At 55.2% G+C, this 24,364-nt stretch overlaps 1 protein-coding gene across 5 annotated transcripts in view, besides 7 other annotated features; it reads right to left on the reverse strand.

Annotated features, from left to right (window-relative positions):
* Nucleotides 1–24,364, reverse strand: part of SNX8 (sorting nexin 8) — a 102,728-nt gene that overhangs the window by 6,040 nt on the left and 72,324 nt on the right. For all 5 annotated transcript variants that reach the window (XM_017012084.3, NM_013321.4, XM_011515329.3 and 2 more), the window contains exons 2-7: nucleotides 20,291–20,496; nucleotides 17,303–17,420; nucleotides 14,041–14,162; nucleotides 11,750–11,830; nucleotides 6,489–6,649; nucleotides 5,421–5,553 (exon numbers count right to left, since the gene is read on the reverse strand). In XM_017012084.3, coding sequence (XP_016867573.1) covers nucleotides 5,421–5,553; nucleotides 6,489–6,649; nucleotides 11,750–11,830; nucleotides 14,041–14,162; nucleotides 17,303–17,420; nucleotides 20,291–20,431 — 756 coding nt within the window. In that variant the 5' untranslated portion in view covers nucleotides 20,432–20,496. The remainder of the gene's footprint in view (nucleotides 1–5,420; nucleotides 5,554–6,488; nucleotides 6,650–11,749; nucleotides 11,831–14,040; nucleotides 14,163–17,302; nucleotides 17,421–20,290; nucleotides 20,497–24,364) is intronic.
* Nucleotides 103–882: an enhancer, noted in NCBI's record as "H3K27ac-H3K4me1 hESC enhancer chr7:2297547-2298326 (GRCh37/hg19 assembly coordinates)". NCBI's record gives its function as "activates a minimal SCP1, AML or CMV promoter by ChIP-STARR-seq in primed H9 embryonic stem cells {active_cell/tissue: H9 hESC(primed)}" and the evidence as "EXISTENCE:reporter gene assay evidence [ECO:0000049][PMID:30033119]".
* Nucleotides 883–1,662: an enhancer, noted in NCBI's record as "H3K27ac-H3K4me1 hESC enhancer chr7:2298327-2299106 (GRCh37/hg19 assembly coordinates)". NCBI's record gives its function as "activates a minimal SCP1, AML or CMV promoter by ChIP-STARR-seq in primed H9 embryonic stem cells {active_cell/tissue: H9 hESC(primed)}" and the evidence as "EXISTENCE:reporter gene assay evidence [ECO:0000049][PMID:30033119]".
* Nucleotides 983–1,072: an enhancer, noted in NCBI's record as "active region_25516". NCBI's record gives its function as "activates an Ori minimal core promoter by ATAC-STARR-seq in GM12878 lymphoblastoid cells {active_cell/tissue: GM12878}" and the evidence as "EXISTENCE:reporter gene assay evidence [ECO:0000049][PMID:35858748]".
* Nucleotides 1,583–1,652: an enhancer, noted in NCBI's record as "active region_25517". NCBI's record gives its function as "activates an Ori minimal core promoter by ATAC-STARR-seq in GM12878 lymphoblastoid cells {active_cell/tissue: GM12878}" and the evidence as "EXISTENCE:reporter gene assay evidence [ECO:0000049][PMID:35858748]".
* Nucleotides 12,248–12,858: an enhancer, noted in NCBI's record as "H3K27ac-H3K4me1 hESC enhancer chr7:2309692-2310302 (GRCh37/hg19 assembly coordinates)". NCBI's record gives its function as "activates a minimal SCP1, AML or CMV promoter by ChIP-STARR-seq in naive H9 embryonic stem cells {active_cell/tissue: H9 hESC(naive)}" and the evidence as "EXISTENCE:reporter gene assay evidence [ECO:0000049][PMID:30033119]".
* Nucleotides 13,468–14,077: an enhancer, noted in NCBI's record as "H3K4me1 hESC enhancer chr7:2310912-2311521 (GRCh37/hg19 assembly coordinates)". NCBI's record gives its function as "activates a minimal SCP1, AML or CMV promoter by ChIP-STARR-seq in primed H9 embryonic stem cells {active_cell/tissue: H9 hESC(primed)}" and the evidence as "EXISTENCE:reporter gene assay evidence [ECO:0000049][PMID:30033119]".
* Nucleotides 14,078–14,686: an enhancer, noted in NCBI's record as "H3K4me1 hESC enhancer chr7:2311522-2312130 (GRCh37/hg19 assembly coordinates)". NCBI's record gives its function as "activates a minimal SCP1, AML or CMV promoter by ChIP-STARR-seq in primed H9 embryonic stem cells {active_cell/tissue: H9 hESC(primed)}" and the evidence as "EXISTENCE:reporter gene assay evidence [ECO:0000049][PMID:30033119]".

Genomic DNA, 24,364 nt, shown 5'->3' on the forward strand with positions numbered 1-24,364 from the left:
GGCGAGGGGGAGCTCACCCACGCGGACGCACATAGGACCCGGTCCCTGCCCGGGAACTCAGACCCAAGCCTGGCCTGGGCCGGTTCCTTCCTCCCAGAGTCAGACGGGCTCCCCAGGACCACCAGCCAGGTCTGCAGGGGGCCCCCTTCCCCACCAGCCCACCCATTACCAGGCGGACACGCCTTCGAGCCCAGCAGTCTTTTTTTTTTTTTTTTTTTGAGTCGGAGTCTTCGCTCTGTCGCCCAGGCTGGAATGCAGTGGCACGATCTCGGCTCACTGCAAGCTCCGCCTCCCGGGTTCACGCCATTCTCCTGCCTCAGCCTCCCGAGTAGCTGGGACTACAGGCGCCCTCCACCATGCCCGGCTAATTTTTTGTATTTCTTTTTTTAGTAGAGACGGGGTTTCACCGTGTTAGCGAGGATGGTCTTGATCTCCAGACCTCGTGATCCGCCCGCCTCGGCCTCCCAAAGTGCTGGATTACAGGCGTGAGCCACCGCGCTGGGCCTGGCCCAGCAGTCTTGATGGGAACAAGGCCTGCGTTCCCGCGGGACAGCTGCCCGCCCTCCTGCTCATCAGCCCGGCCTGCCTTGCCTTTCTCAGGCCTTCGCAAAGCCGGCGACTCTCCCAACACATATGCTGGGAGAGCCAGATGCCCCAGACCCCCCGACCCCTAAGGCTCCATCAAGCACTGCAGAAAACCCGAGTTCCCATATAACGCTGTGAGCCGTGTGCAAAACGGGCACGCCCAGGAGGGGCACGGAGGAGAACAAGGGTGTTGTCTCCGCATCAGTAACAGGAGAGAGAAACGCAGGCCTAGGAAGGGGGCACAGGGAAGGGGGCGCAGGGTAGGTAGGAGAGACAGCAGCTGCAGGAAGGACGTGCTGCTGATCCAGGAAGAGAGGCGGCCGCCCCAGGCTGCACGCAGAAGCACCACACTCGGCGGTGGGGGCAGCGGTGGACACAGGCTCCTCTTCGGCCCTCACACAAGGCTCTGTGCGGGCAGCACAGCCACAGAGAGAGCCCAACAGGGCAGTGAGTGCACAGCAAACGGCGGGCAGCCCTGGAGTGGAACAGGGGCCCCATCACGGCAGAGGGATGCCCTGCTCCCAGAGTCACCACAGCACCTGGGGACACGAAGCAGCCCCCACGGGCGAACCCCACCCAGACGCTGCCTCGGCCTCCCCGGCTTACACCAGTAGCAGCCCTCGGTGGGGGCGCAGGCCAGGCACAGTGCACACGGCCCGAACACACGGTGCTCAGAGGCATCTGCGGTATGAAGAGTCGGTCCAAAGCCCTGGGCTCCAGCTGCCACTGAGGGGAGCATCCAAGCTCTGGAGACAGCAGGGGTCTGGGGAAGGCAGCGGAAGCGGCAGCCCATCCACCCCTGACCTGCACAGCTCACCACAGACCCCCCAGCCACAACCGCAACCAAGCCAGGCCGATGGCAGGTATCCTGGGGAAACCCCCGACACTGACGCCTTCAGTCACACCCGGGCCCTGAAGGGCTCCGGTCCCCACAGCTCACGCCCTCAGTCCCCACAGCTCACTGAGCACCTCGGGGAGACCAAGCTCCCTCCACGATTCCTCGGGCTCCACCCGTGGTAGGGGGTGAAAAGCTCACCCCACGCACTGCACGTCAAGCTCAGCAGGAGACGGGGCAGGCAGAAGTGGATGGAACGAGTTTTACGGGACACAGCCCTGGAATGGGAGCCAGGGGTGCCGCCCAGGCCCTGCTGCACCCCAGGGGACCCTAAGATACCCCTTCCACCCTCCAGACCTCAGGCCGACTGAACCCGGAGGCTCCCCGGCCACCAACCCCACACCCAAAGCAGCTGGGATTCCAGCCAGTAAAATGTGCCAGGAGAAGAGGTGTGTTAAGAGTTTCTAAAACTCTAGAGAGAAAACGCCAGCTGACCGCAGGTGCCCAGCTCCCACCTGACCAGGCAGGGGCTCAGGAGAATGTAGGCTTATTCCCTGGCCCAGCAGAAGAGGGGGAGTTCAGGGGTCCCTCTGTTCGTGTCATTTGTCACCAAGTCCCATCTGTGGTTCAGTGCTGCACAAGGCCCTAAACCAGGGGTGTCCAATGTTTTGGCTTCCCAGGGCCACATTGGAAGAAGAAGAATTGTCTTGAGCCACACATAAAATACGCTAACACTATGATAGCTGATGAACTAAAAAAAACAAAAAAGGAAAAAAGAAAGAGAGAGAGAAAGAAAGAGAGAGAGAGGAAGGAAGGAAGGTAGGTAGGTCTGTGTGTAAATCTCATAATGTTTTCAGAAAGTTTACAGATTTGGCTTTTTTTTTGAGACAGAGTCTTGCTCTGTTACCCAGGCTGGAGTGCAGTGGCATGATCTCAGCTCACTGCAACCTCCGCCTCCCAGGTTCAAGCGATTCTCTCCTGCCTCAGCCTCCCGAGTAGCTGAGATTACAGGTGCCCGCCACCACGCCTGGCTAATGTTTGTATTTTTAGTAGAGATGGGGTTTCACCATGTTGGCCAGGCTGGTCTCAAACTCCTGACCTCAGGTGATCTGCCCATCTCAGCCTCCCAAAGTGCTAAGATTACAGGCATGAGCCACTGCACCCAACCAAGTTTACGGATTTGTGTTAGGCCACATTCAAAGCTGTCCTGGGCCACACGCAGCCTGTGGGCCACAGGTTGGACAAATGTGCCCTAAACCATTAATGCATGCGCCTTTAACCAAGGCGAAGATCCCGTCACCATGGAAAACACAGACCCTACTCCGAGTCTCACGTGTCTTGCTGGGATATGGCTACCTTCAGCTCCTAATAGGTCTGGGGAGAGTATAACTGGTGTAAGTACAAGCAGACTTAGGAAAAACGGTCCTCGCTGCCCCCGACTGAACAGCAAGGGTGAGATGGAACTTCTGCTGCATCAAATGAAAGGCCTCGAGGTTTGTTTCATGTAAAAGCTCAATTTCACTACAACCAAGGACAGTGAGAGAGATTCAGGAAACAGCACTTCTCCAGACATCACAGTCCCAAAACACAACTCATGAGATGTCCAAGAGTCACAGAGCTGGGCAGAACCTCAAGCCATAAACTCCTACTGCACCAGAAGCCTCAACCTTCTCTCCCTCTTCAAGGTGGAAATGCGGCATCCAGGGCTGAATCAGAAAAAACCTTGGAAATCACCTCATGAGTGATGCTCATCCTGAGCTCTGCAGAGCCCCAGGGCACTCTGGGCACCCCGCCAACAGCCACCTGCTGAAGAGGGAGTGGAATGTGGGAAGGTTCTGGGTCCCTGTGACAAGAATGGCTTTTATGCTTTGCACACTGAGCTTGGGGGAAAGGGTCAGCAGATTACAGAAACAGCTCCTTTGGCTGGGCACAGAGGCTCGTGCCTGTAATCCCAGCACTTTGGGAGGCCGAGGCTGGCGGATCACTTGAGGTCAGGAGTTTGAGACCAGCCCGGCCAACACGGTGAAACCCCATCTCTACTAAAAATACAAAAATTAGCCGGGTGTGGTGGTGCACACCTGTAATCCCAGCTACTGGGGAGGCTGAGGCAGGAGAATCGCTTGAACCCGGGAGGCAGAGGTTGCAGTGAGCCGAGATCACACCACTGCCCTCCAGCCTGGGCGACAGAGCGAGACTCCGTCTCAAAAACAAACAAAAAAAAGAAATAGCTGTTTTAATAATCTAGTCCAACCCCCTTGTATTTAATTGATGGGGAAACTGAGGCCTGGAGACCAGAATAGCTTGATCATGGTCACAGCACAGACACACAATGCATAGGGCAGGGCCCTGAGGTCCTCTGTCTCTATCCTGAAAAGCCCCCAGCCCCACGTTCTCGGTCCCCTCCACCTGGGGGGAGTGGGCACACAGACCTGGAGACAGAAGAGACTCAGCCCCAATCTACAGAAACCAACAGTGCCCTCCCTCCGTTTCTAAAGGGAACACAGAAGCACGGGGGCGGAAGAGGAAGAAAACCCAAGACTTTCCACACCAGCAAAGACATCGAATTTCCTCTTCAGCACGAAAAACGTCACGGGCACCTGAGCGCCCCGTTTCCAGCTTAAAAAGCCCCGACTCCACAGCAGGTGGGTTCACCATTCACCAAGCCACTCAGGAGCTCCGGGGCTCAGGGGAAGCACAGCCCTCACGGGCACACTCTGATCACTCTCTTCAAACTAATATGAGTAGCCTGGAGGCCACTTTCCCAAGAAATAGGAACTAGGCAGCAAGCTCCCACATTCACAACTATGTCCACTTTTTTTTGTTTTTGAGACAGGGTCTCGCTCTGTCGCCCAGGCTGGTGTGCAGTGGCACCATCATGGCTCACTGAAGCCTCTACCTCTTGGGTTCAGGTGATCCTCCCACCTCAGCCTCGTGAGTAGCTGGGACTACAGACACGCACCACCACCCCTGGCTAATTTTTTTTTATTTTTGATAGAGATGAGATCTTGCTCTGTTGCCCAGGGTGGTCCTGAACTCCTGGGCTCAAGCAGTCCTCCTGCCTCAGCCTCCCAAAGCGCTGGGATGATAGGTGTGAGCCGCTGTGCCCAGCCATGTAACACTTTTTCTTAACATAAAAGCACCCAGATGAGCTTTCCAGTGTGATAGTAAACACCGTATCTTCAAACTGATCCCAAATGACTCCAAGATCTTGGCGAATTTCTGAAATCAGCTTCTGCCCATGCAGCAGGAGCACTGCCTGAGGTTGTGTGTGGAGCGGGAGGTGGGAGCCGCTCAGGTGCTGGGGCTTTATTATTCTGATGAGTTAAGTCTCCAGTGCCAAATCCTAGTGGACTCAGACAGCAAAGTGGGAACTATCTGGTCCACCCAGGAGTATGCCTGGAAGCCCAAGATCATCTTTTCAAAGACAGAGTCTGTCTTCCAACCTCAGCAAAATCAACACTCAAGACTACAGCCTAATCTGTTTTGTCGCTGGCAACCCCCTCTCGAAAGCGTAAACGCTCCCAGGGAGCCACCAGGAACAGATGTGGATGGGCAGCTCCCACCCAGGGCACAGCTGTCATTCACTCGGCTCAGAACTGGGAAGCCGGCCGGGCACAGTGGCTCACGCCTGTAATCCCAGCACTTTGGGAGGCCGAGGCGGGCAGGTCACCTAAGGTCAGGAGTTCAAGACCAGCCTGACGAACATGGTGAAACCTCATCTCTACTAAAAATACAAAAAATTAGCCAGGCATGGTGGTGGACACCTGTAATCCCAGCTACTCAGGAGGCTAAGGCAGGAGAATCACTTGAACCCAGGAGGCAGAGGTTGCAGCGAGCCGAGATTGCGCCTTTGCGCTCCAGCCTGGCAACAGAGGGAGACTCCTTCTCAAAACAACAAAACAAAAACGAACTGTGACGCCCATCTAAGCAGGAGGCACTCCCCATGCAAAGGCATAGCGTGTTCTCTGGAACAGGCGCCTGGGAGAACCGATCCACTCACCTGTTGTGCAGCCTTGTCGGCGAGCAGCGCGAATTCCACAGACAGGCCTTTCAGAGCCTGCTTCAGGGACCCCCACGTGCTGCTATTCAGAGCGGCCCAGGAGGGCAGCGGGGTCGTGTCAGACCCTATTGCACTGAGGGAGCAAGCACACAGGAGAGGAGACACTCAAGGCCTGGAGCTCACCTGGCAGTCGAGTCTGGCATCCCCCCCGACAGATGTCCTCCACGGCAACCTGCGTGACCCCGTCCTAGGACCCTGCTGCTCAAAGAGTGGCCTGTGGGGACCCTGGGAGCCCGGGAGAAAGGGTGGCCCTGGGGCTGCACCTCAGGACCTGCTGCGTCTCTTCTTCCCAACCAGCCCCCAGGTGACATGTGTGCACAGGTGACGGGCACTGCTGGGGCAAGCAGAGTCCCGGGTGGGGTCTCCCCTCCCCTCAGGCAAAGGAAGCGCTGCCAGCCCATGGTCTGTTCTTCCCCAAGTCAAAGGGATCTTTTTTTTTTTTGAGACGGAGTCTCGCTGTATCACCCAGGCTGGAGTGCAGTGGCGCGATCTCGGCTCACTGCAACCTCCGCCTCCTAGGTTCAAGCAATTCTCTGCCTCAGCCTCCCGAGTAGCTGAGATGACAGGCACCCGCCACCACGCCCAGAGAACTTTTTTTTGTATTTTTAGTAGAGACGGGTTTCACCATCTTGGCCAGGCTGATCTTGAACTCCTGACCTCGTGATCCACCCACCTCGGCCTCCCAAAGTGCTGGGATTACAGGTGTGAGCCACCACGCCTGGCCTGGGATCTTTTTTTAAAGTCTCATCCTGACAGTGAAAAAACTACCAGACTAGAAACTGGTGAGCATTTACTCGTGCTCAGAAATCCGTGTTTCAGGGCCGAAATTCTCCCGTGTTTCTTCCAAATATGACCCCCCATGTGCCTGAGCCACTTTCTGCCCCTTCTGAGATGAAACAGGTCAGGATGCTGGTTATTACGGTAAACGCACTTTCCGCCCAAGCCCTTCACCAGCATGGATTCCCGTCCCACCGCGCGTGCCCCTGCAGAAGCTGAAAGGTCACCTACCTTAGCTCCTTCCCGAATATGAGAAGATCTGCCGCATTGTCGATGGCCCGCGATGCGATCCGCTCGGCCCTGTCGCGAAGCTTGTGAAAGCTATTGTAGATGTTCCGGATCAGCTCCCGGCTGATGGCAAACTGAGCCTGGATGTCAGCTGGGAGGAAGTCCTGACATCATGATGGGGGGAGAGACACTGTGTTAGTCGCTGGGGAGCACCTGTCAGACGGCAGCAGCCGGTCCCCCAGAAGCTGAGCCACGGGAGACACAGCAGGTCCATGAGCCACCCCGGGAGCCCCACTCCTCCAGGCCTGCAGGGATCACTCTGTGTGTCCAAAAAAGAAACAAAAACCATCATCACCTGCATGCCACAAACACAAAGACAAATGATCCCATGGGATGAGGACCACAGAGTCCACTGAAATCTCATCACACTGGAGGACCTATCCAAAAACACTCAAATAAGGCCAGGGGCAGTCACTCACACCTGTAATCCCAGCACTTTGGAGGCTGAGGCAGGTGGATCACCTCAGGTCAGGAGTTCAAGACCAGCCTGACCAATATGGTGAAACCCCATCTCCACTAAAAATACAAAAATTAGCTGGGCATGGCGGCATGCACCTGTAATCCCAGCTACTCCAGAGGCTGAGACAGGAGAATTGCTTGAATCCGGGAGGCAGAGGTTGCAGTGAGCTGAGATCGCGCAACCACACTCCAGTTTGGGCGACAGAACGAGACTCTGTCTCAAAACAAACAAACCAACAAAACACTCGAATAATAATCTTGCCGGGCGCAGTGGCTCACGCCTGTAATCCCAGCACTTTGGGAGGCCGAGTAGGGCGAATCACGAGGTAAGGAGATCGAGACTATGGTGAAACCCCATCTCTACTAAAAATACAAAAAATTAGCCGAGCCTGGTGGTGGGCACCTAGTCCCAGCTACTTGGGAGGCTGAGGCAGGAGAATGGCATGAACCCCGGAGGCGGAGCTTGCAGTGAGCTGCGATCACACCACTGCACCCCAGCCTGGGCAACAGAGCGAGACTCCGTCTCAAAAACTAACAATACTAATCTTTAGCTGGATACAGTGACTCACACCTGTACCCCAGCGCTCTGGGAGACTGAGGCAAGAGGATTGCTAGAGCCTGGGAGTTTAAGAACAGCCTGGGCAACATAGTGAAACCCCATCTCTCCCAAAAAATCAAAAAATTAGCCAGGCGTGGTGGAGCGCCTGTGGTCCCAGGTGCTTACAGAGGGCTGAGGCAGGAGGATCACTTGAGCCCAGGAGTTCCATGCTGCAAGGAGCCATGATCACAACACTGCACTCCAGCCTGGGGACCCTGTCCCCAGAAAACAACAAAAATAAAAACAAACAATCTTCAAGTTAAACACAATGAACATAAATTCCTGAAAGACTCTCCACATGGGGGGAAGGCCTCTTCTATGCCGCGTTTATTCCCAAAGACTTTTTATAAGATTTGATACTAACTATCAGAGTTCAGAAAACAGAAAGCTCAGAGAGTAAAATGAAGGTAAAAGATTTGGCCAGGCATGGTGGCTCATGCCTTTAATCCCAGTACTTTGGGGGGCCATGCCAGGAGGATTGCTTGAGGCCAAGAGTTCAAGACCAGCCTGGGCAACATAGTGAGACTTCATCTATACCAAAAACAAACAAACAAATCAGCCAAGTACTGTGGTGCATGCCTGTGGTCCCAGCTATTCTGGGAGGCTGAAGTGGGAGAATTGCTTGAACTCAGGAGGTCGAGGCTGCAATGACCTACGATTGCACCACTGCACTATAGCCTAGAGGACAGAGCAAGACCTTGTCTCAAAAAATAAAATAAAATAGATTTTTAATTTTTGTATGAAGAAGCAGGTTTTTTTCTGGTTTTTTTGTTGTTGTTGTTGTCGTCTTTGACACAAAGTCTCACTCTGTTACCCAGGCTGGAGTGCAATGGCACGACCTGGGCTCACTGCAGCCTCTGCCTCCTGGGTTCAAGCAGTCCTCTTGCCTCAGCCTCCCAAATAGCTGGGATTACAGGTGCCTGCCACCAAGCCTGGCTAATTTTTTTTTTCTTTTTTTTGATGGTGTCTCTGTCGTCCAGGCTGGAGTGCAGTGGCGCAATCTTGGCTCACTCCAACCTCTTCCTCCTAGGTTCAAGCAATTCTCCTGCCTCAGCCTCCTGAGTAGCTGGAATTACAGGTGCACGCCACCGCACCCAGCTAATTTTTGTATTTTTAGTAGAGGCGGGGTTTCACCATGTTAGTCAGGCTAGTCTTGAACTCCTGACCTCGTGATCCACCCGCCTCGGCCTCCCAAAGTGCTAGGATTACAGGCGTAAGCCACCACGCCCGGCCGGTTTTTTGGGGTTTGTTTTGCTTTTTTTTGTTTTCCTTTTTTGTTTTGTATTTTTATTAGAGATGGGGTTTTGCTATGTTGGCCAGGCTGGTCTCAAACTCCTGACCTCAAGTGATCCGACAGCCTCAGCCTCCCAAAGTGCTGGGATTACAGGAAGGAGCCACCGCGCCAGCCTGAAGAAGAGGTTTAAAAAGAAAAAACCAAAAACAAAAAAACTACCAAGTAGCTACCTTAGTCTTTTTTGGAAAAAGACCAAACTTTAAACATTTAATAATAAACAAATGTAACAATGAATCCCCAGAAATCTGAAAAGGTGCTGACACAAGCATCCGTCTGTCTGAGTCACAGAAAAGGGCAGAGGGCACGAGGTGCCTGGAGGGCCTGAGGGCAGAGCTCAGCCGCAACCCGGCCCTGCTGCTTAGAGGCTCGGGGCCTTGGCAAATGACAGCCTCCCTGAGCCTGTTTCTCCATCCGTAAAACAGGCCTCCCAGCCCTGTGTCGGAGCAACTGAAACGAGGGTTAAATGAGGAAACCATGCGACAGATGTCAGCATAATCCCTGCCACGCAGAGGAGGCAAAATCACTTTGAAGGGTTAAAACTTGTTTCTCTGGTTAAAAAGGGATGTACTCTTCAAAGTTAGAAAAATACCTTGGCCCTCTCCCTCCCCCTCCCCCTCCCCCTCCCCCTCTCCCTCTCCCTCACCCCACAGTCTCCCTCTCATGCGGAGCCGAAGCTGGACTGTACTGCTGCCATCTCGGCTCACTGCAACCTCCCTGCCTGATTCTCCTGCCTCAGTCTGCCGAATGCCTGCGATTGCAGGCACGCGCCGCCACGCCTGACTGGTTTTGGTGGAGACGGGGTTTCGCTGTGTTGGCCGGGCCGGTCTCCAGCCCCTAACCGCGAGTGATCCGCCAACCTCGGCCTCCCGAGGTGCCGGGATTGCAGACGGAGTCTCGTTCACTCAGTGCTCAATGGTGCCCAGGCTGGAGTGCAGTGACGTGATCTCGGCTCACTACAACCTACACCTCCCAGCCGCCTGCCTTGGCCTCCCAAAGTGCCGAGACTGCAGCCTCTGCCCGGCCGCCACCCCGTCTGGGAAGTGAGGAGTGTCTCTGCCTGGCCGCCCATCGTCTGGGATGTGAGGAGCCCCTCTGCCTGGCTGCCCAGTCTGGAAAGTGAGGAGCGTCTCCGCCCGGCCGCCATCCCATCTAGGAAGTGAGGAGCGCCTCTTCCCAGCCGCCATCACATCTAGGAAGTGAGGAGCGTCTCTGCCCGGCCGCCCATAGTCTGAGATGTGGGGAGCGCCTCTGCCCCGCCGCCCCATCTGGGATGTGAGGAGCGCCTCTGCCCGGCCGAGACCCCGTCTGGGAGGTGAGGAGCGTCTCTGCCCGGCCAGCCACCCCGTCCGGGAGGGAGATGGGGGGGTCAGCCCCACCACCTGGCCAGCCGCCCCGTCCGGGAGGGAGGTGGGGGGGTCAGCCCCCCGCCTGGCCAGCCGCCCCATCCGGGAGGGAGGTGGGGGGCGTCAGCCCTCCGCCCGGCCAGCCGCCCCATCTGGGATGTGAGGAGCGCCTCTGCCCGGCGAGACCCCGTCTGGGAGGTGAGGAGCGTCTCTGCCCGGCCGCCCCGTCTGAGAAGTGAGGAGACCCTCTGCCTGGCAACCACCCCGTCTGAGAAGTGAGGAGCCCCTCCGCCCGGCAGCTGCCCTGTCTGAGAAGTGAGGAGCCTCTCCGCCCGGCAGCCACCCCATCTGGGAAGTGAGGAGCGTCTCCGCCCGGCAGCCACCCCATCCGGGAGGGAGGTGGGGGGGGTCAGCCCCCCGCCCGGCCAGCCGCCCCATCCGGGAGGGAGGTGGGGGGTCAGCCCCCCCGCCCGGCCAGCCGTGCCATCCGGGAGGGAGGTGGGGGGGTCAGCCCCCCGCCTGGCCAGCCGCCCTGTCCGGGAGGGAGGTGGGGGGGTCAGCCCTCCGCCCAGCCAGCCGCCCCGTCTGGGAGGTGAGGGGCGCCTCTGCCCGGCCGCCCCTACTGGGAAGTGAGGAGCCCCTCTGCCCAGCCAGCCGCCCCGTCCGGGAGGGAGGTGGGGGGGGTCAGCCCCCCAGCCCGGCCAGCCGCCCCGTCCGGGAGGTGAGGGGCGCCTCTGCCCGGCCGCCCCTACTGGGAAGTGAGGAGGCCCTCTGCCCGGCCAGCCGCCCCGTCCGGGAGGGAGGTGGGGGGGTCAGCCCCCCGCCCGGCCAGCCGCCCCGTCCGGGAGGGAGGTGGGGGGGGGTCAGCCCCCCTGCCTGGCCAGCCGCCCCGTCCGGGAGGTGAGGGGCGCCTCTGCCCGGCCACCCCTACTGGGAAGTGAGGAGCCCCTCTGCCCGGCCACCACCCCGTCTGGGAGGTGTGCCCAACAGCTCATTGAGAACGGGCCAGGATGACAATGGCGGCTTTGTGGAATAGAAAGGCGGGAAAGGTGGGGAAAAGATTGAGAAATCGGATGGTTGCCGTGTCTGTGTAGAAAGAAGTAGACATGGGAGACTTTTCATTTTGTTCTGTACTAAGAAAAATTCCTCTGCCTTGGGATCCTGTTGATCTGTGACCTTACCCCCAACCCTGTGCTGTGTCCACTCAGGGTTAAATGGATTAAGGGCGGTGCAGGATGTGCTTTGTTAAACAGATGCTTGAAGGCAGCATGCTCGTTAAGAGTCATCACCACTCCCTAATCTCAAGTAATCAGGGACACAAACACTGCGGAAGGCCGCAGGGTCCTCTGCCTAGGAAAACCAGAGACCTTTGTTCACTTGTTTATCTGCTGACCTTCCCTCCACTATTGTCCCATGACCCTGCCAAATCCCCCTCTGCGAGAAACACCCAAGAATGATCAATAAAAAAATAAATTAAAAAAAAAAAAAAAGAAAAAAAAAAGAAAAATACCTTGGCCCTGGTAGCCAGCTTACAGTTCAGGAATTCGTCCCCGACGCACTGTGCTGACTCCTTTAACTTGTTCTGCACATCCTGCAAAAGGAAAACACACAGCTTCACCCTCTTCTACTAGCAGCAAGAAAGCTGCTGTGGGGTATGGGTCACTGTGGAGCGGGAGGTCGTCTTTCCTCAGGAGAAACACATTTCCATATGTTGGCTTTGACATTAGTATTCTGCAATCTCTTGACTCTCCCTTAGATGTTTTTCTCACCAAACAGGACAGCCTGGCTTCACAGCAGGAGCACCACAAACCTGCAGCCTCTCTCCAGAGGCACAGCCACTCCATCCGCAGACGGGGGGCAGCTCTCCAGAGAAACAGCCACTCCATCCACAGACCAGGGGCGGCTCTGCAGAGAAACGGCCCCTCCATCCACAGACCCGGGGCGGCGTCAGCCCCAGAGATACCTGAGACCCTGGTAGCTTCCAAAAACGCAATAGAACAGGGCAAAAGTGTCTTCCTTCCTGGGAATGCATCCATGGCGCCAGGGACACCAGAGCCCAGGGAGCTGCTGGGCAGAGGGACAGGCCCAGCCCCTGGCACCGGAGCCCTCTCATCTGAAAGAGGCCTCCTGGGCAAAGCCGTGCCTTAAAGTCAGGAGCCACCCAGGAGATACAAGGGGAAACCCTAATATGCAGCTGTTTGCGTGTCCAGGAATTCTCAGGTTTCAGAGATGCCTTAAAGATCATCTGACTCAACTCTCATTTTACAAAAAAAAAAAAAAAAAAAAAAAAAAAGACCTGAGGCCCAGCATGGTGCGTGCCTGTAGTCCCAGCTACTCAGAGCCTGAGGCGGGAGGATCGCTGGAGCCCAGGGGTTCAGGGCCAGCCTGGGTAACATAGTGAGACCCCATCTCTAAAAACAGAAAGCAAGCAAGAAAACTGAGGCCGGGAAGTGACAGAGAATGATACCTGTGGGAAGGCCACAGGGAACGTCCTGCCCCCAGAACAGGGATATTGCCCACCTGTGACCCACTGCACCCCTGCCCACCGCCCCTCCCAGGTCCTGCCACATTCCTCTGCTGGCAATGCAGATCGCCTCCAAAGGAAGGTTTCCAACCCCAGGGCTCAAAAGATCCCACTGCCTGCTCCAGACATCCCCGGGGGCATCCCAGGGACATCTCAGGCACAGGGGGAAGGCCCCTCTGCCTCCGAGAGGAACGAAGACAAAAGGAACCAAGGCTTGTGTGAAGTCAGCCTGGGAGAGGGGGTGTCTTCCTGCAGCAGGGACAAGGACAGAGGCCGTCAGGTCCCCATTCAAGACGGGGTTTCCCTGAAATAGAGGAGAGCCTGGAAACCTCTATTCCAGTGGAGCCCCCGCCCCTCCCCGCACAGGGAGAGGGTCCTGCAGGCACAGGTGGAGGAGAAGCACAGGACCCGCCTTCCCTGGAGGGGCTGGCAGCTGCTTCCTCCTCCAGGAAACAGGAGCTGGGCTGCAGGGTTGTTTTTTGTTTTTTTGAGACAGGGTCTCACTCTGTCGCCCAGGCTGGAGTGCAGTGGCACAATCACAGCTCACTGCAAGCTCCACCTCCTGGGTTCAAGCGATTCTCATGCCTCAGCCTCCCAAGTGACTGGGATTACAGGTGTGCACCACCATGCCTGGCCTCAGTTTTGTTTTGGTAGAGACGAAGTCTCGCTATGTTGTCCAGGCTGGTCTCAAACGCCTGGGCTTAAGGGACCATCCAGCCTCGGCCTCTCCGAGCGCTGGGATTAGAGGCGTGGGCCACTGTACCTGCGAACTGTAGCTTCTTGACACACAATAAGGCTGTGCCGCAGCAGCTGGGAGGAGGGAAGCCCCACTCAGACCTCTGACGGAGTGCATGTACAACAAGTTAATTCCCGGATGCAGGTGTGGGCTGTGGCTCTGACAAGGAGGCTCAGCCTGTGTTCCAGTGGTCCTTAGTCAGACAGGGCCTTGTTTTAAGTCAACACTTCTTCCCATCTGGAGTCTCTGGCACCTCCCTAAACCCTCCAAACCATCCAGCCTAAATCCTCAAAGTGACCACAGAGATCCATGATCTCCACGCGGATTTACAAAATCCTGCAAAGTCAACACCAGGGACACCTCTGAAAATCACATTCAGACTGTTATCTGGAAAGGAAAGAAGTCTTGTCCATGTCATTCCTGCTGGGCGTCCAAACAAGGGACCAGGAGGATAAGAAACCACACCTGAGAGAGGAAAAGGCGGGTCCGGAGGCTCGGGGACTCCCCGGGGCCGGGACATGGGCAGGGCAGACACACTCACCGAGCCGCTGAAGGACAGGAAGAGCTTGAGGACCACATCCTCGGAGAACAGGGGGTGTCGCGCCACCAGGTTGACGAAGCGCTTCAGGGCTCTCCTCCTGGCCTCGATGAACTCCCTGTCAGCTGGAGGAGCACACGGGGTCACTGGACAGAGTCCAGGGCGCCGGCCCCCATCTTCTGCTCTGGGCGAGTTCTCAAAACTCTCCCTAGAGGTGGCAGAGGGCCCAGCGGCTAGCAGAGGGCACTGGCTGGGCCCCCAGTGCTGCTCAGACAATGGGTCTGAAAAGGCCGCCCAGAGCAATAACCTCACCCCCAGAGGCCCCCTCCAGCCACACACACTTGGGTCCAGGAGCTGCCAAGGAAAACCACAGATCTGCTTGTTTCCATCGGGAGTCCTGGGAACCACGTGAGTGGTCACTTTAATCACCTCCGTTAAAGACATCTTCCATAATCCCCTCCTGGCACTTCTCACTGCAAACAAATGGGTTTTGCTACGCTCTAACACTAACGCAACCCAGGTCTTCTTTTCTTTTTTTTTTTTTTGAGACAGAGTTTCGCTCCTGTTGCCCAGGCTGGAGTGCAGTGGCGCAATCTCGGCTCACTGCTACCTCCGCCTTCCAGGTTCAAGCGATTCTCCTGTCTCAGCCTCTGGAATTAGCTGGGATTACAGGGGCCCGCCAACATGCCTGGCTAATTTTTGTATTTTTAGTAGAGATGGGGTTTCACCATGTTGGTCACGCTGGTCTCCAACTCCTGACCTCAGGTGATCCACCTGCCTCGGCCTCCCAAAGTGCTGATATTACAGGCGTAAGCCACCGCGCCCGGCCGAGTTTTTCTATTCACTGTGCTTATAACTTACTCTGCAAAGGATGCAATTACTCATTGCTTTCATTCGGGTTAAATATTTTCACTCCAAGGGGAAAAAAAGTAAAAGCATATACTGATGCATTCAGGACATTTCAATCTGAACACAAACAAAAATGGTATTTAAATACTTTTTTTGAGACGGAGTTTCACTCTTGTCGCCCAGGCTGGAGTGCAGTGGTGTCATCTCGGCTCACTGCAACCTCTAACTCCCAGGTTCAAGCGATTCTCCTGCCTCAGCCTCCCAAGTAGCTGGGATTACAGGCACCCGCCACCACACCTGGCTAATGTTTATACTTTTATTAGAGAGGAGGTTTCACCATGTTGGTCATGCTGGTCTCGAACTCCTGACCTCAGGTGATCCGCCCACCTCAGCCTCCCAAAGTGCTGGGATTACAGGCATGAGCCACCAGCGCCCAGCCTTTAAATACTATTTTTAATGTATTAAGAAATACAGCCAGGAGTGTGGCTCACACCTGTAATCCCAGCCTCTTGGGAGGCTGAGGAGGGCAGATCACTTGAGGCCAAGGAGTTCTACATCAGCCTGGCCAGCGTAGCGAAACCCTGTCTCTGAAAAATACCATAAAAGAGGCCAGGCGCAGTGGCTCACACCTGTAATCCCAGCACTTTGGGAGGCTGAGGCAGGTGGATCATGAGGTCAGGAGATTGAGACCATCCTAACACGGTGAAACCCCATCTCCACTAAAAATACAAAAAAAAATAATTAGCCAGGCGTGGTGGCGGGCGCCTGTAGTCCCAGCTACTTGGGAGACTCAGGCAGGAGAATGGCGTGAACCCGGCAGGCGGAGCTTGCAGTGAGCCGAGACCGCACCACTGCACTCCAGCCTGGGTGACACGGCGAGTCTTCGTCTCAAAAACAAAAACAAAAACAAAAAACACCATAAAAGAGGCCAGGTGCGGTGGCTCACACCTGTAATCCCAGCACTTTGGGAGGCTGAGGTGCGCGGATCACGAGGTCAGGAGATTGAGACCATCCTGGCTAACACGGTGAAACCCCGTCTCTACTAAAAATACAAAAAAATTAGCCAGGCGTGGTGGCGGGCGCCTGTAGTCCCAGCTACGCGGGAGGCTGAGGCAGGAGAATGGCGTGAACCCGGGAGGCGGAGCTTGCCATGAGCCGAGATTGCACCACTGCACTCCAGCCTGGGCGACAGAGCGAGACTCCATGTAAAAAAAAAAAAAAAACACCATAAAAGAAAGAAAACAAACAATACAGGTAGGTGGCTGGGGCTCCCTCCTGGCTCAGCACTGGCAGGCCTCTTCCGATGAGGCTGCACTTCCTTAAATGCGCAAGCGGCCCAGCGCGCGTGTGCAGTTTCCAGGCGCTGAACGCCAGCCAGCGCTCATCAACTCGGATGCCCAGGCCTGAGCCAGCATCACACATCCCTGTCGCGTCCTCTGCTCTCTGCTGCCCTGAGCGCCCGTGTGCCCTTCAGCGTGAGCTGAATGATCTGCTCTGTGGCCTTCACATGCGGCGGGGTGAAAATCACATCATCAGACCCTGGGCTGCTTGCTCAGTGACCGATGAGAGGCAGAAGCATTTATGCATCATCGTACGATTTCAGATGCGGGGAACTGGCGACTGTGTTAGCTCCCATGCTGCGTCCCCGTCCAGGACACGGTGACTGTGGAAGGGCTGGGAACGGCAGAAAGCCATGATCAGCTCTAAGCACTCATTTCCCCAGCATGTTTTATTCAGAATTTGAGGAACGGGCTGAGGGAGAGACCACCAGTGAGATCAGAGCTGGCAGCCGCCATCCCAAGCTCTGCAGCCCAGGGGGACACAGGCCTGGGGAGCAGCTCTGAGGTCGTCTGCGATCTCCCACCTGGCCCGAGGCCATCTTCAGGCAGAGAGGTGAAGGTGAGGCAGCCGTGTGCTGCTTTTTCTCTCCTGCAAGATGCAGCTGACATTTCCTACTTGCACAACTCAGTTCTCTTCCATGAGGCCACCGAGCGCTCCCATGGTGCCCATGGCTCAGGCTGCCATGGCTTTGCAGATGCAGGCAGGGCAATGCCAGCCAGGTGAGCACACAGTGCTCCTGGCAGCCCTCTCGGGAGCTCTCGGGAGCCCTGGCCACTGCACTCTGGAGAGGAGAACTAGGGTTCTCTTTCACACCTGCACAGCAAGGGCTTCCCCACCTGTCAGTCATGCAGCTGAAGGCTCTGGTGGGCCAAGGCTGCCGGGTGCCAGTCTCCCTGCCTGCACCAAGGCTGGGCTCAAGCCACAGCTCTGTCCCAGATGCCAAAAGGCTGGAGTTTCCCCCGCAGCCCTGCACCTGCCCCGGTCTACAGTGGGGTCCATCCCTGAGCCAGGACCACAGGGTCCAGGAGATGGGCTCGCTCCCTCCGCCCCCGGTGGGCAGCACGCCTGGCTTTACCTCCCAGCATTCTCTTGGGTGGCAGGGCAGGCACCATACGGTAGGGGAACTTGTGCAGGAGCATCTCCTGGAAGACCACGAAGTCATTGTACCGTCTGTATACCGAGGACTTGAAGCGCTGCAAGAGAAGGGTCGGTGCTTAGATCCGACGTTGGAAACTATGCTGTCGCGTCACTTCCCCTCAACAGAGCCCGGGAAAACGACAGCACCAAGTGCATCTTCTCTCACCAGGCCTTTACTAAATGGAGAAACCCTGTGACGGCTTCGTATATGGAAATACAACTTTTAAACTTTGTATAGCTCTTAGGCCGGGTGCGGTGGCTCCCGCCTGTAATCTCAGCATTCTGGGAGGTTGAGGCGGGTGAATCACCTGAGGTCAGGAGTTAAAGAGACCAGCCTGGCCAACATGGCAAAATCCCATCTCTACTAAAAATACAAAAATTAGCTGGGCATGGTGGTGGGCGGCTGTAGTCCCAGCTACTTTGGAGCCTGAGGCAGGAGAATCCCTTGAACCCTGGAGACAGAGGTTGCAGTGATCCAAGATCGTGCCACTGCACTCTAGCCTGGACGACAAAGCGAGACCTTGTCTTAAAAAAATTAAAAAAGGCCGGGCGCGGTGGCTCACGCCTGCATTCCCAGCACTTTGGGAGGCCGAGACAGGCGGATCATGAGGTCAGGAGATCGAGACCATCCTGGCCAACACGGTGAAACCTCGTCTCTACTAAAAACACAAAAAATTAGCCGGGCGTGGTGGTGGGCACCTGTAGTCCCAGCTACTCAGGAAGCTGAGGCAGGAGAATGGCGTGAACCCGGGAGGCAGAGCTTGCGGTGAGCTGAGATCACGCCACTGCACTCCAGCCTGGGCGGCAGAGCGAGACTCCATTTCAAAAAAAAAAAAAAAACTAAACAAATGGTATGAAGCATAGTGGCTTCCCACCTGGTCAGTGACTGGCCCGTTACACACACATCAGGGTGACCAAACTGCCCCCTTGACAAATGTTCCCTATGTGGCAATGAATTTACTTAAGGGACGGGCAGCTTAGTAAGACTGGACAAAAGGCCAGCCGCTGGCTCCCTGGCAGGCAACGGCACGTCTCACACGCTCAGAGTTGCCTCACCCCCAGGCTGCCAGGCCCCAGAAGGAAGGGGTGGCTCGCTCTGCTCCCCCGTGGCATCCCACCAGCTGGTCCACATCCCCGACTGCGGCCCAGAGGGCCGGGAACCACGGCAAAGCCAGACAGCAAGGCGGCTCTGACACGGTCCTCCAAGGGAGTCCTCCCCTCTGACCCGCTTTGTCCTTTGGTAGCAGTACTGACAACCATTCGGACCGTGTGGCCACAGGCTCTGGAACACAGTGAAGCACAGCAGAGCAGACGGCAGGGAGGGGAGACCGGCTCGCTTGTCCTTAAGGCCAGGTGCAGTGGCTCATGCCTGTGAGCCTAGCACTTTGGCGGGCCAAAGTGAGAGGACTGCTTGAGCCCAGGAGTTCGAGACCAGCTGAGACAACATAGCAAGTCTCCATTTGTACTTTAAAAAAAAAAAAAAAAAAAAGACTGGGCATGGTGGCTCACGCCTGTAATCCCAGCACTTTGGGAAACCAAGGCAGGAGGACCACTTGAGCCCAGGAGCTCAAGACCAGCCTGGACAATATAGTGAGATCCCATCTCTACAAATAATTTAAAAAACTGCCTGGTGTGGTGGCATCCGCCTGTGGTTCCAGCTACTCAGGAGACTGAGGTGGGAGGGTTGCTTGAGCCTGGGAGGTTGAGGCTGTAGTGAGCTATGATCGTGCCACTGCACTCCAGCCTGGTTGACAGAGCAATACCCTGTCTCTTTAAAAACAAGCAAACAAAAAGACACAACTTTTACCCAGGACCATCTGCTCATGACGCTTTTCAAACAAGCCCCTGGCAGTGCCGTCCGGCCGGGGCTGGGCCAGGGCCGCCCTCTCCCACACAGGAGTGGGCCCTGCTCTGTCTGTGCGAATCCCACAAGCCCTGCTGACTCCACACCTCCCAAGGACAGTGTTAGCTCATCAATTACTCAATGCCCAGGATGAACAATGAAAACTCCCATCAGAATCTGTCGTAATGGAACTGAGACAACGAAGCAAGGGACAGAGAGAGCCACGGTGTTGCTCCAGACGGGCATCAGGCACTCGGTGTCTGTGTCTCACCTGCCCAATATCGGGATGCCCAGCAACAGGAGGGCCGTGTTATTAAAGGGGATTAGAGTGACACATATTGATCCTGCCATGCAAATTTCATTCACTGTTTGGGGTCCGGAGTCGATGGGGCTGACATTCTAATCCTCGGGGGTTTCCCACTATTACAAAGCGAGGCTGGTGTGGATCCCGCTTTGTGCTCTGTGGACCGTCCGCGGGAGATTCCTAAGAAACAGGCCTCCAGGCCGGGCGCGGTGGCTCACGCCAGTAATCCCAGCACTTTGGGAGGCCGAGGCGGGTGGATCATAAGGTCAGGAGATCAAGACCACCCTGGCTAACATGGTGAAACCCTGTCTCTACTAAAAAAAAAAATACAAAAAAATTTGCCAGGCGTGGTGGCGGGCACCTGTCATCCCAGCTACTTGGGAGGCTGAGGCAGGAGAATCGCTTGAACCCGGGAGGCAGAGTTTGCAGTGAGCCGAGATCATGCCACTGCACTCCAGCCTGGGCGACAGAGCAAGACTCCACATCGGGGAAAAAAAAAAAAGAAACAGGACTCCAGAGCACAGTGGTGGGGAGGACAAACTGGACCAGGGGTGACCAGGTGGGGACGTGGCTGGGCCAGAGTGAGGTGCGGGGAGCAGAGGTGTGGAAAAGTCACCTCCGCAGCCTGACTCTGCTGCGAGTTCTGGATCTTGCCTGTAAGCCAGCCACACAGACTCACCCTTCAGCCTTCTCCTGTCACACCACTCCTGCCCTGAGATGTTGAGACGTGACCCTTTCTTCCCCCTCCTGCCCCGACACACACACAATTTGCCAGTTACCTGGCTGGAAACCTCATACTCCACATGCTTCAGGAAGAGGCCCTTCTTCTCCGGAATGAGCTCCACCTGCACGGTGTCCCTGGCCAGCAGCTCCTGCAGGGTGTGGGACAGCAGCAGCGGGTTCCCCTGCGGCATCTGCATTCGACTGGGGGCTGGGACCTGCTGCACGATGGCCTGGGGCTCGATGGCCTGGGGTGTCGGCAGATCTGCAGGGGAGATGGTGAATGACCAGTGAGAATAGCTGCTCAAAAGCTGGAGCCTTGGCTGGGCACAGTGGCGCAGCCCTGTAATCCCAGCACTTTGGGAGGCCCAGGAGGGAGTATCACTTGAGCCCTGGAGTTCAAGACCAGCCTAGGTAATATGGTGAGACCCCATCTGTACAAAAAATAAAATAAATTGAAAAGTGCAGCCTCCCTCTGCTGTGTGCTAGCTCAGCACATGGACTCTGGCCACGTCATGCAACAGGTCCCATCGTCAGCCAGCCACACTCACTCACTCACACTACGGAGTCGACGCCGGACTCACTCACACTACGGAGTCGAAGCCGGACTCACACTACGGAGTCGACGCCGGACTCACTCACACTACGGAGTCGACGCCGGACTCACTCACACTACGGAGTCGAAGCCGGACTCACTCACACTACGGAGTCGAAGCCGGACTCACTCACACTACGGAGTCGACGCCGGACTCACTCACACTACGGAGTCGACGCCGGACTCACACTACGGAGTCGACGCCGGACTCACTCACACTACGGAGTCGACGCCGGACTCACTCACACTACGGAGTCGAAGCCGGACTCACTCACACTACGGAGTCGACGCCGGACTCACTCACACTACGGAGTCGACGCCGGACTCACTCACACTACGGAGTCGACGCCGGACTCACACTACGGAGTCGACGCCGGACTCACTCACACTACGGAGTCGAAGCCGGACTCACTCACACTACGGAGTCGACGCCGGACTCACTCACACTACGGAGTCGAAGCCGGACTCACTCACACTACGGAGTCGACGCCGGACTCACTCACACTACGGAGTCGAAGCCGGACTCACTCACACTACGGAGTCGACGCCGGACTCACTCACACTACGGAGTCGACGCCGGACTCACTCACACTACGGAGTCGACGCCGGACTCACTCACACTACGGAGTCGAAGCCGGACTCACTCACACTACGGAGTCGAAGCCGGACTCACTCACACTACGGAGTCGACGCTGGACTCACTCACACTACGGAGTCGACGCTGGACTCACTCACACTACACCCACTCATGCTACGGAGTCAACGCTGGACCCACTCACTCATGCTACAGAGTCGACGCTGCGGGCACGTCCTTTTGTTCAAAAAAATCATGGTGGTCAGGCACCATGGCTCACGCCTGTAATCCTGGGACTTGGGGAGACCGAGGCAAGAGGATCGCTTGAGCTCAGGAGTTCAAGACCACCCTGGGCAAGATGGCAAAACCCCATCGCTACAAAAAATACAAAATTAGCCATGCGTGGTGGCTCACTGGCTAATTTTGCAGTCCCAGCTACTCGGGAGGTGAGAGGATCACCTGAGTCCGGGAAGGCGGAGGCTGCAGTGAGCCATGATTGCACCACTGCATTCTAGCCTAGGCAACAGAGTGAGACCCTGTCTCAAAAAAAAAGAAAAAAAAAAAAAAAAAACTCTTCCCTGGAAGGCTTCCACCTGCTCACGAATCAGCAAGTACACCCACATTTCTGTGACTACATCAAATCAGTCTTAACCTTGGGGAAGGAAAACAAAGTGAAATATGTACAAGTTTTGTGTGAAAAAGAATCTTCCTTTTCTCTAGAGCCAAGAGAACAGGCTCAAACCAAATAAACTAGCCATACGATCTTCTAAATGCCCCAGTGTGTTCACAGTGAACACATTACTTTCATATGCCAAAAAGTCATCTGGACAGACAGGAGGGAGGGGAGAGAAGAAGGGAGGAAAGAAAGAGAAAAAACTCCAGGCCTGCTTATAGCTAGGACTCCCAACCACATGCACGGAAGAATTAAGCCAGAAAACTCCAGCTGCCTTACAGACAAGAAGTCACCGTGCACCCTGCACAAAGCAGCAAAAGCAAATCAGAGATCCTACGCCCAGCTTGCAAAGAAAAAACCAAAACAAGGAATAATGTTTAAAAAGTCAGTTTGGTTTTTAATACAAAGTGAGTTCTAAATAGAAAAAAAAGTGTTTCTCATTTTTTTTGTTTTTTACATGTTAGCGCACACCTGTAATCCCAGCTACTCAGGAGGTTGAGGCAGGAAAATTATCACTTAAACTCAGGAAGCGGAGGTTGTGGTGAGCCCAGATCACGCCACTGCACTCCAGCCTGGGCAACAGAGACTCTGTCTCAAAAAAAAAAAAAAGTTTAAAATAAGTGTTCTCTATTAAGCATGTATTAATTTTTATGATTTTCCTGATTATTAAGATAAGATAATCTTCCAAGAAAGAATGTAAACTCAGTAATGATTACCAAGTGGTCACATGTTGGTGAAGAATTTGAACTTTGATTGCATGAGAATCTGAAAGAGCTCAAAAAACACATTTTAAATCAAAGACACTTCTTTAACTCTCGATTGTCTCAAACATCTCAATAACTTCTATGTACAAGTTCCAATCATTAGAAAGCTATGCTTTCAAATATCAATTTACTAAACTAGAATGCCCTTTTTTTTTTTTTTTTGAGAGACAGAGTCTCGCTCTGTTGCCCAGGCTGGAGTGCAATGGCACAATCTTGGCTCACTGCAACCTCCACCTCCCGGGTTCAAGCAATTCTGCTGCCTCAGCCTCCAGAGTAAGTGGGATGACAGGCGTGCACCAATATGCCCAGCTAATTTTTGTATTTTTAGTAGAAACAGGGTTTTACCATGTTGGCCAGACTGGTCTCAAACTCCTGACCTCAAATGATCCACCCACCTCAGCCTCCCAAAGTGCTGGGATTACAGGCATGAGACACCGCGCCCGGCCAGATGCCCATATTTGCAAAATAAATTTTAATTAAGAAAAAGAAAGAAAAAGACCAGGTACTATGGCTAGCACCTACAATCCCAGCACTTTGGGAGGCTGAGGCAAGAGGATCACTTGAGCCCAGGAGTTAAAGACCAGCCTGGGCAACATAATAAGATGCCATCTCTACAAAAAATAAAATTACGGGCATGTTGGCGCAACCTGTAGTCCCAGCTACTCAGGAGGCTGAGGCAGGAGGATTGCTTGAGCCCAAGAGTTCACGGCTGCGGTATGCCAAGATTGGGCCACTGCACTCCAGCCTGGGTGACAGAGTAAGACCCTGTCTATAAAAACAAAAAGGAAAAAAAAAAAAACATCATTTCAAATGGGTACACTGCCAGGTGACGGACCACACACTGCAGAACGGGCAGAAACACCAGGAGGAGGAGCCCGGCTTTCTGCAGGAATAAACGTTATGCTCACTAATGGAACTTCAATACTCTATCAAACTGACACCCCTTGAAGCAGTGCACACAGCCCATAAGACACAGAGCCTGGACAATACACCCTAAACTAACCCAGTCCCACAGAGAGAAAACAGATGAGATGAGGGAGGCCAGCTTGGCCCCCAGCTGGAAAGGCTGTGGACGCAGGATGGGATCTGGCTCAGAGAGATCCTGGCTGAAATCCAGCCTCCATCATTTCCTAGCTTTGTGGCCTAGCACGCAGCCGCCTCTGAGCTTACTGTTCAAATCCGTGCGGTGGGTGTAAGGATGCCCTCACCCCTGGGCCTGGCCATCGCCATCTATGCCCTGATACTACAGCAACCCCCCACAGGCCCCTCGAACGACAGCCCCTCCCCACTCCAACCCTTCTGGCACCAAACTGCTTCACTGTGGGCTTCAGACCCAACCCGGAACCTGGACTTGGAAGTGTCTTGCCCCTGAAATGCCGCTCACTATCTGTGAGACCCTGGGAGGGAAGCAGCCCCTCAGATCCCAGGCCAAGGGCCTCAGAATTCAGTGAGGTGGGAGAGCTGAAAATAACTAGCAAATAGAAAACATTCAATAAGTGTCCCTGACTTCCTTCCAGATTTACCACG

This window comes from Homo sapiens, chromosome 7, assembly GCF_000001405.40.
Source record: "Homo sapiens chromosome 7, GRCh38.p14 Primary Assembly".
Lineage (NCBI taxonomy): Eukaryota > Metazoa > Chordata > Mammalia > Primates > Hominidae > Homo > Homo sapiens.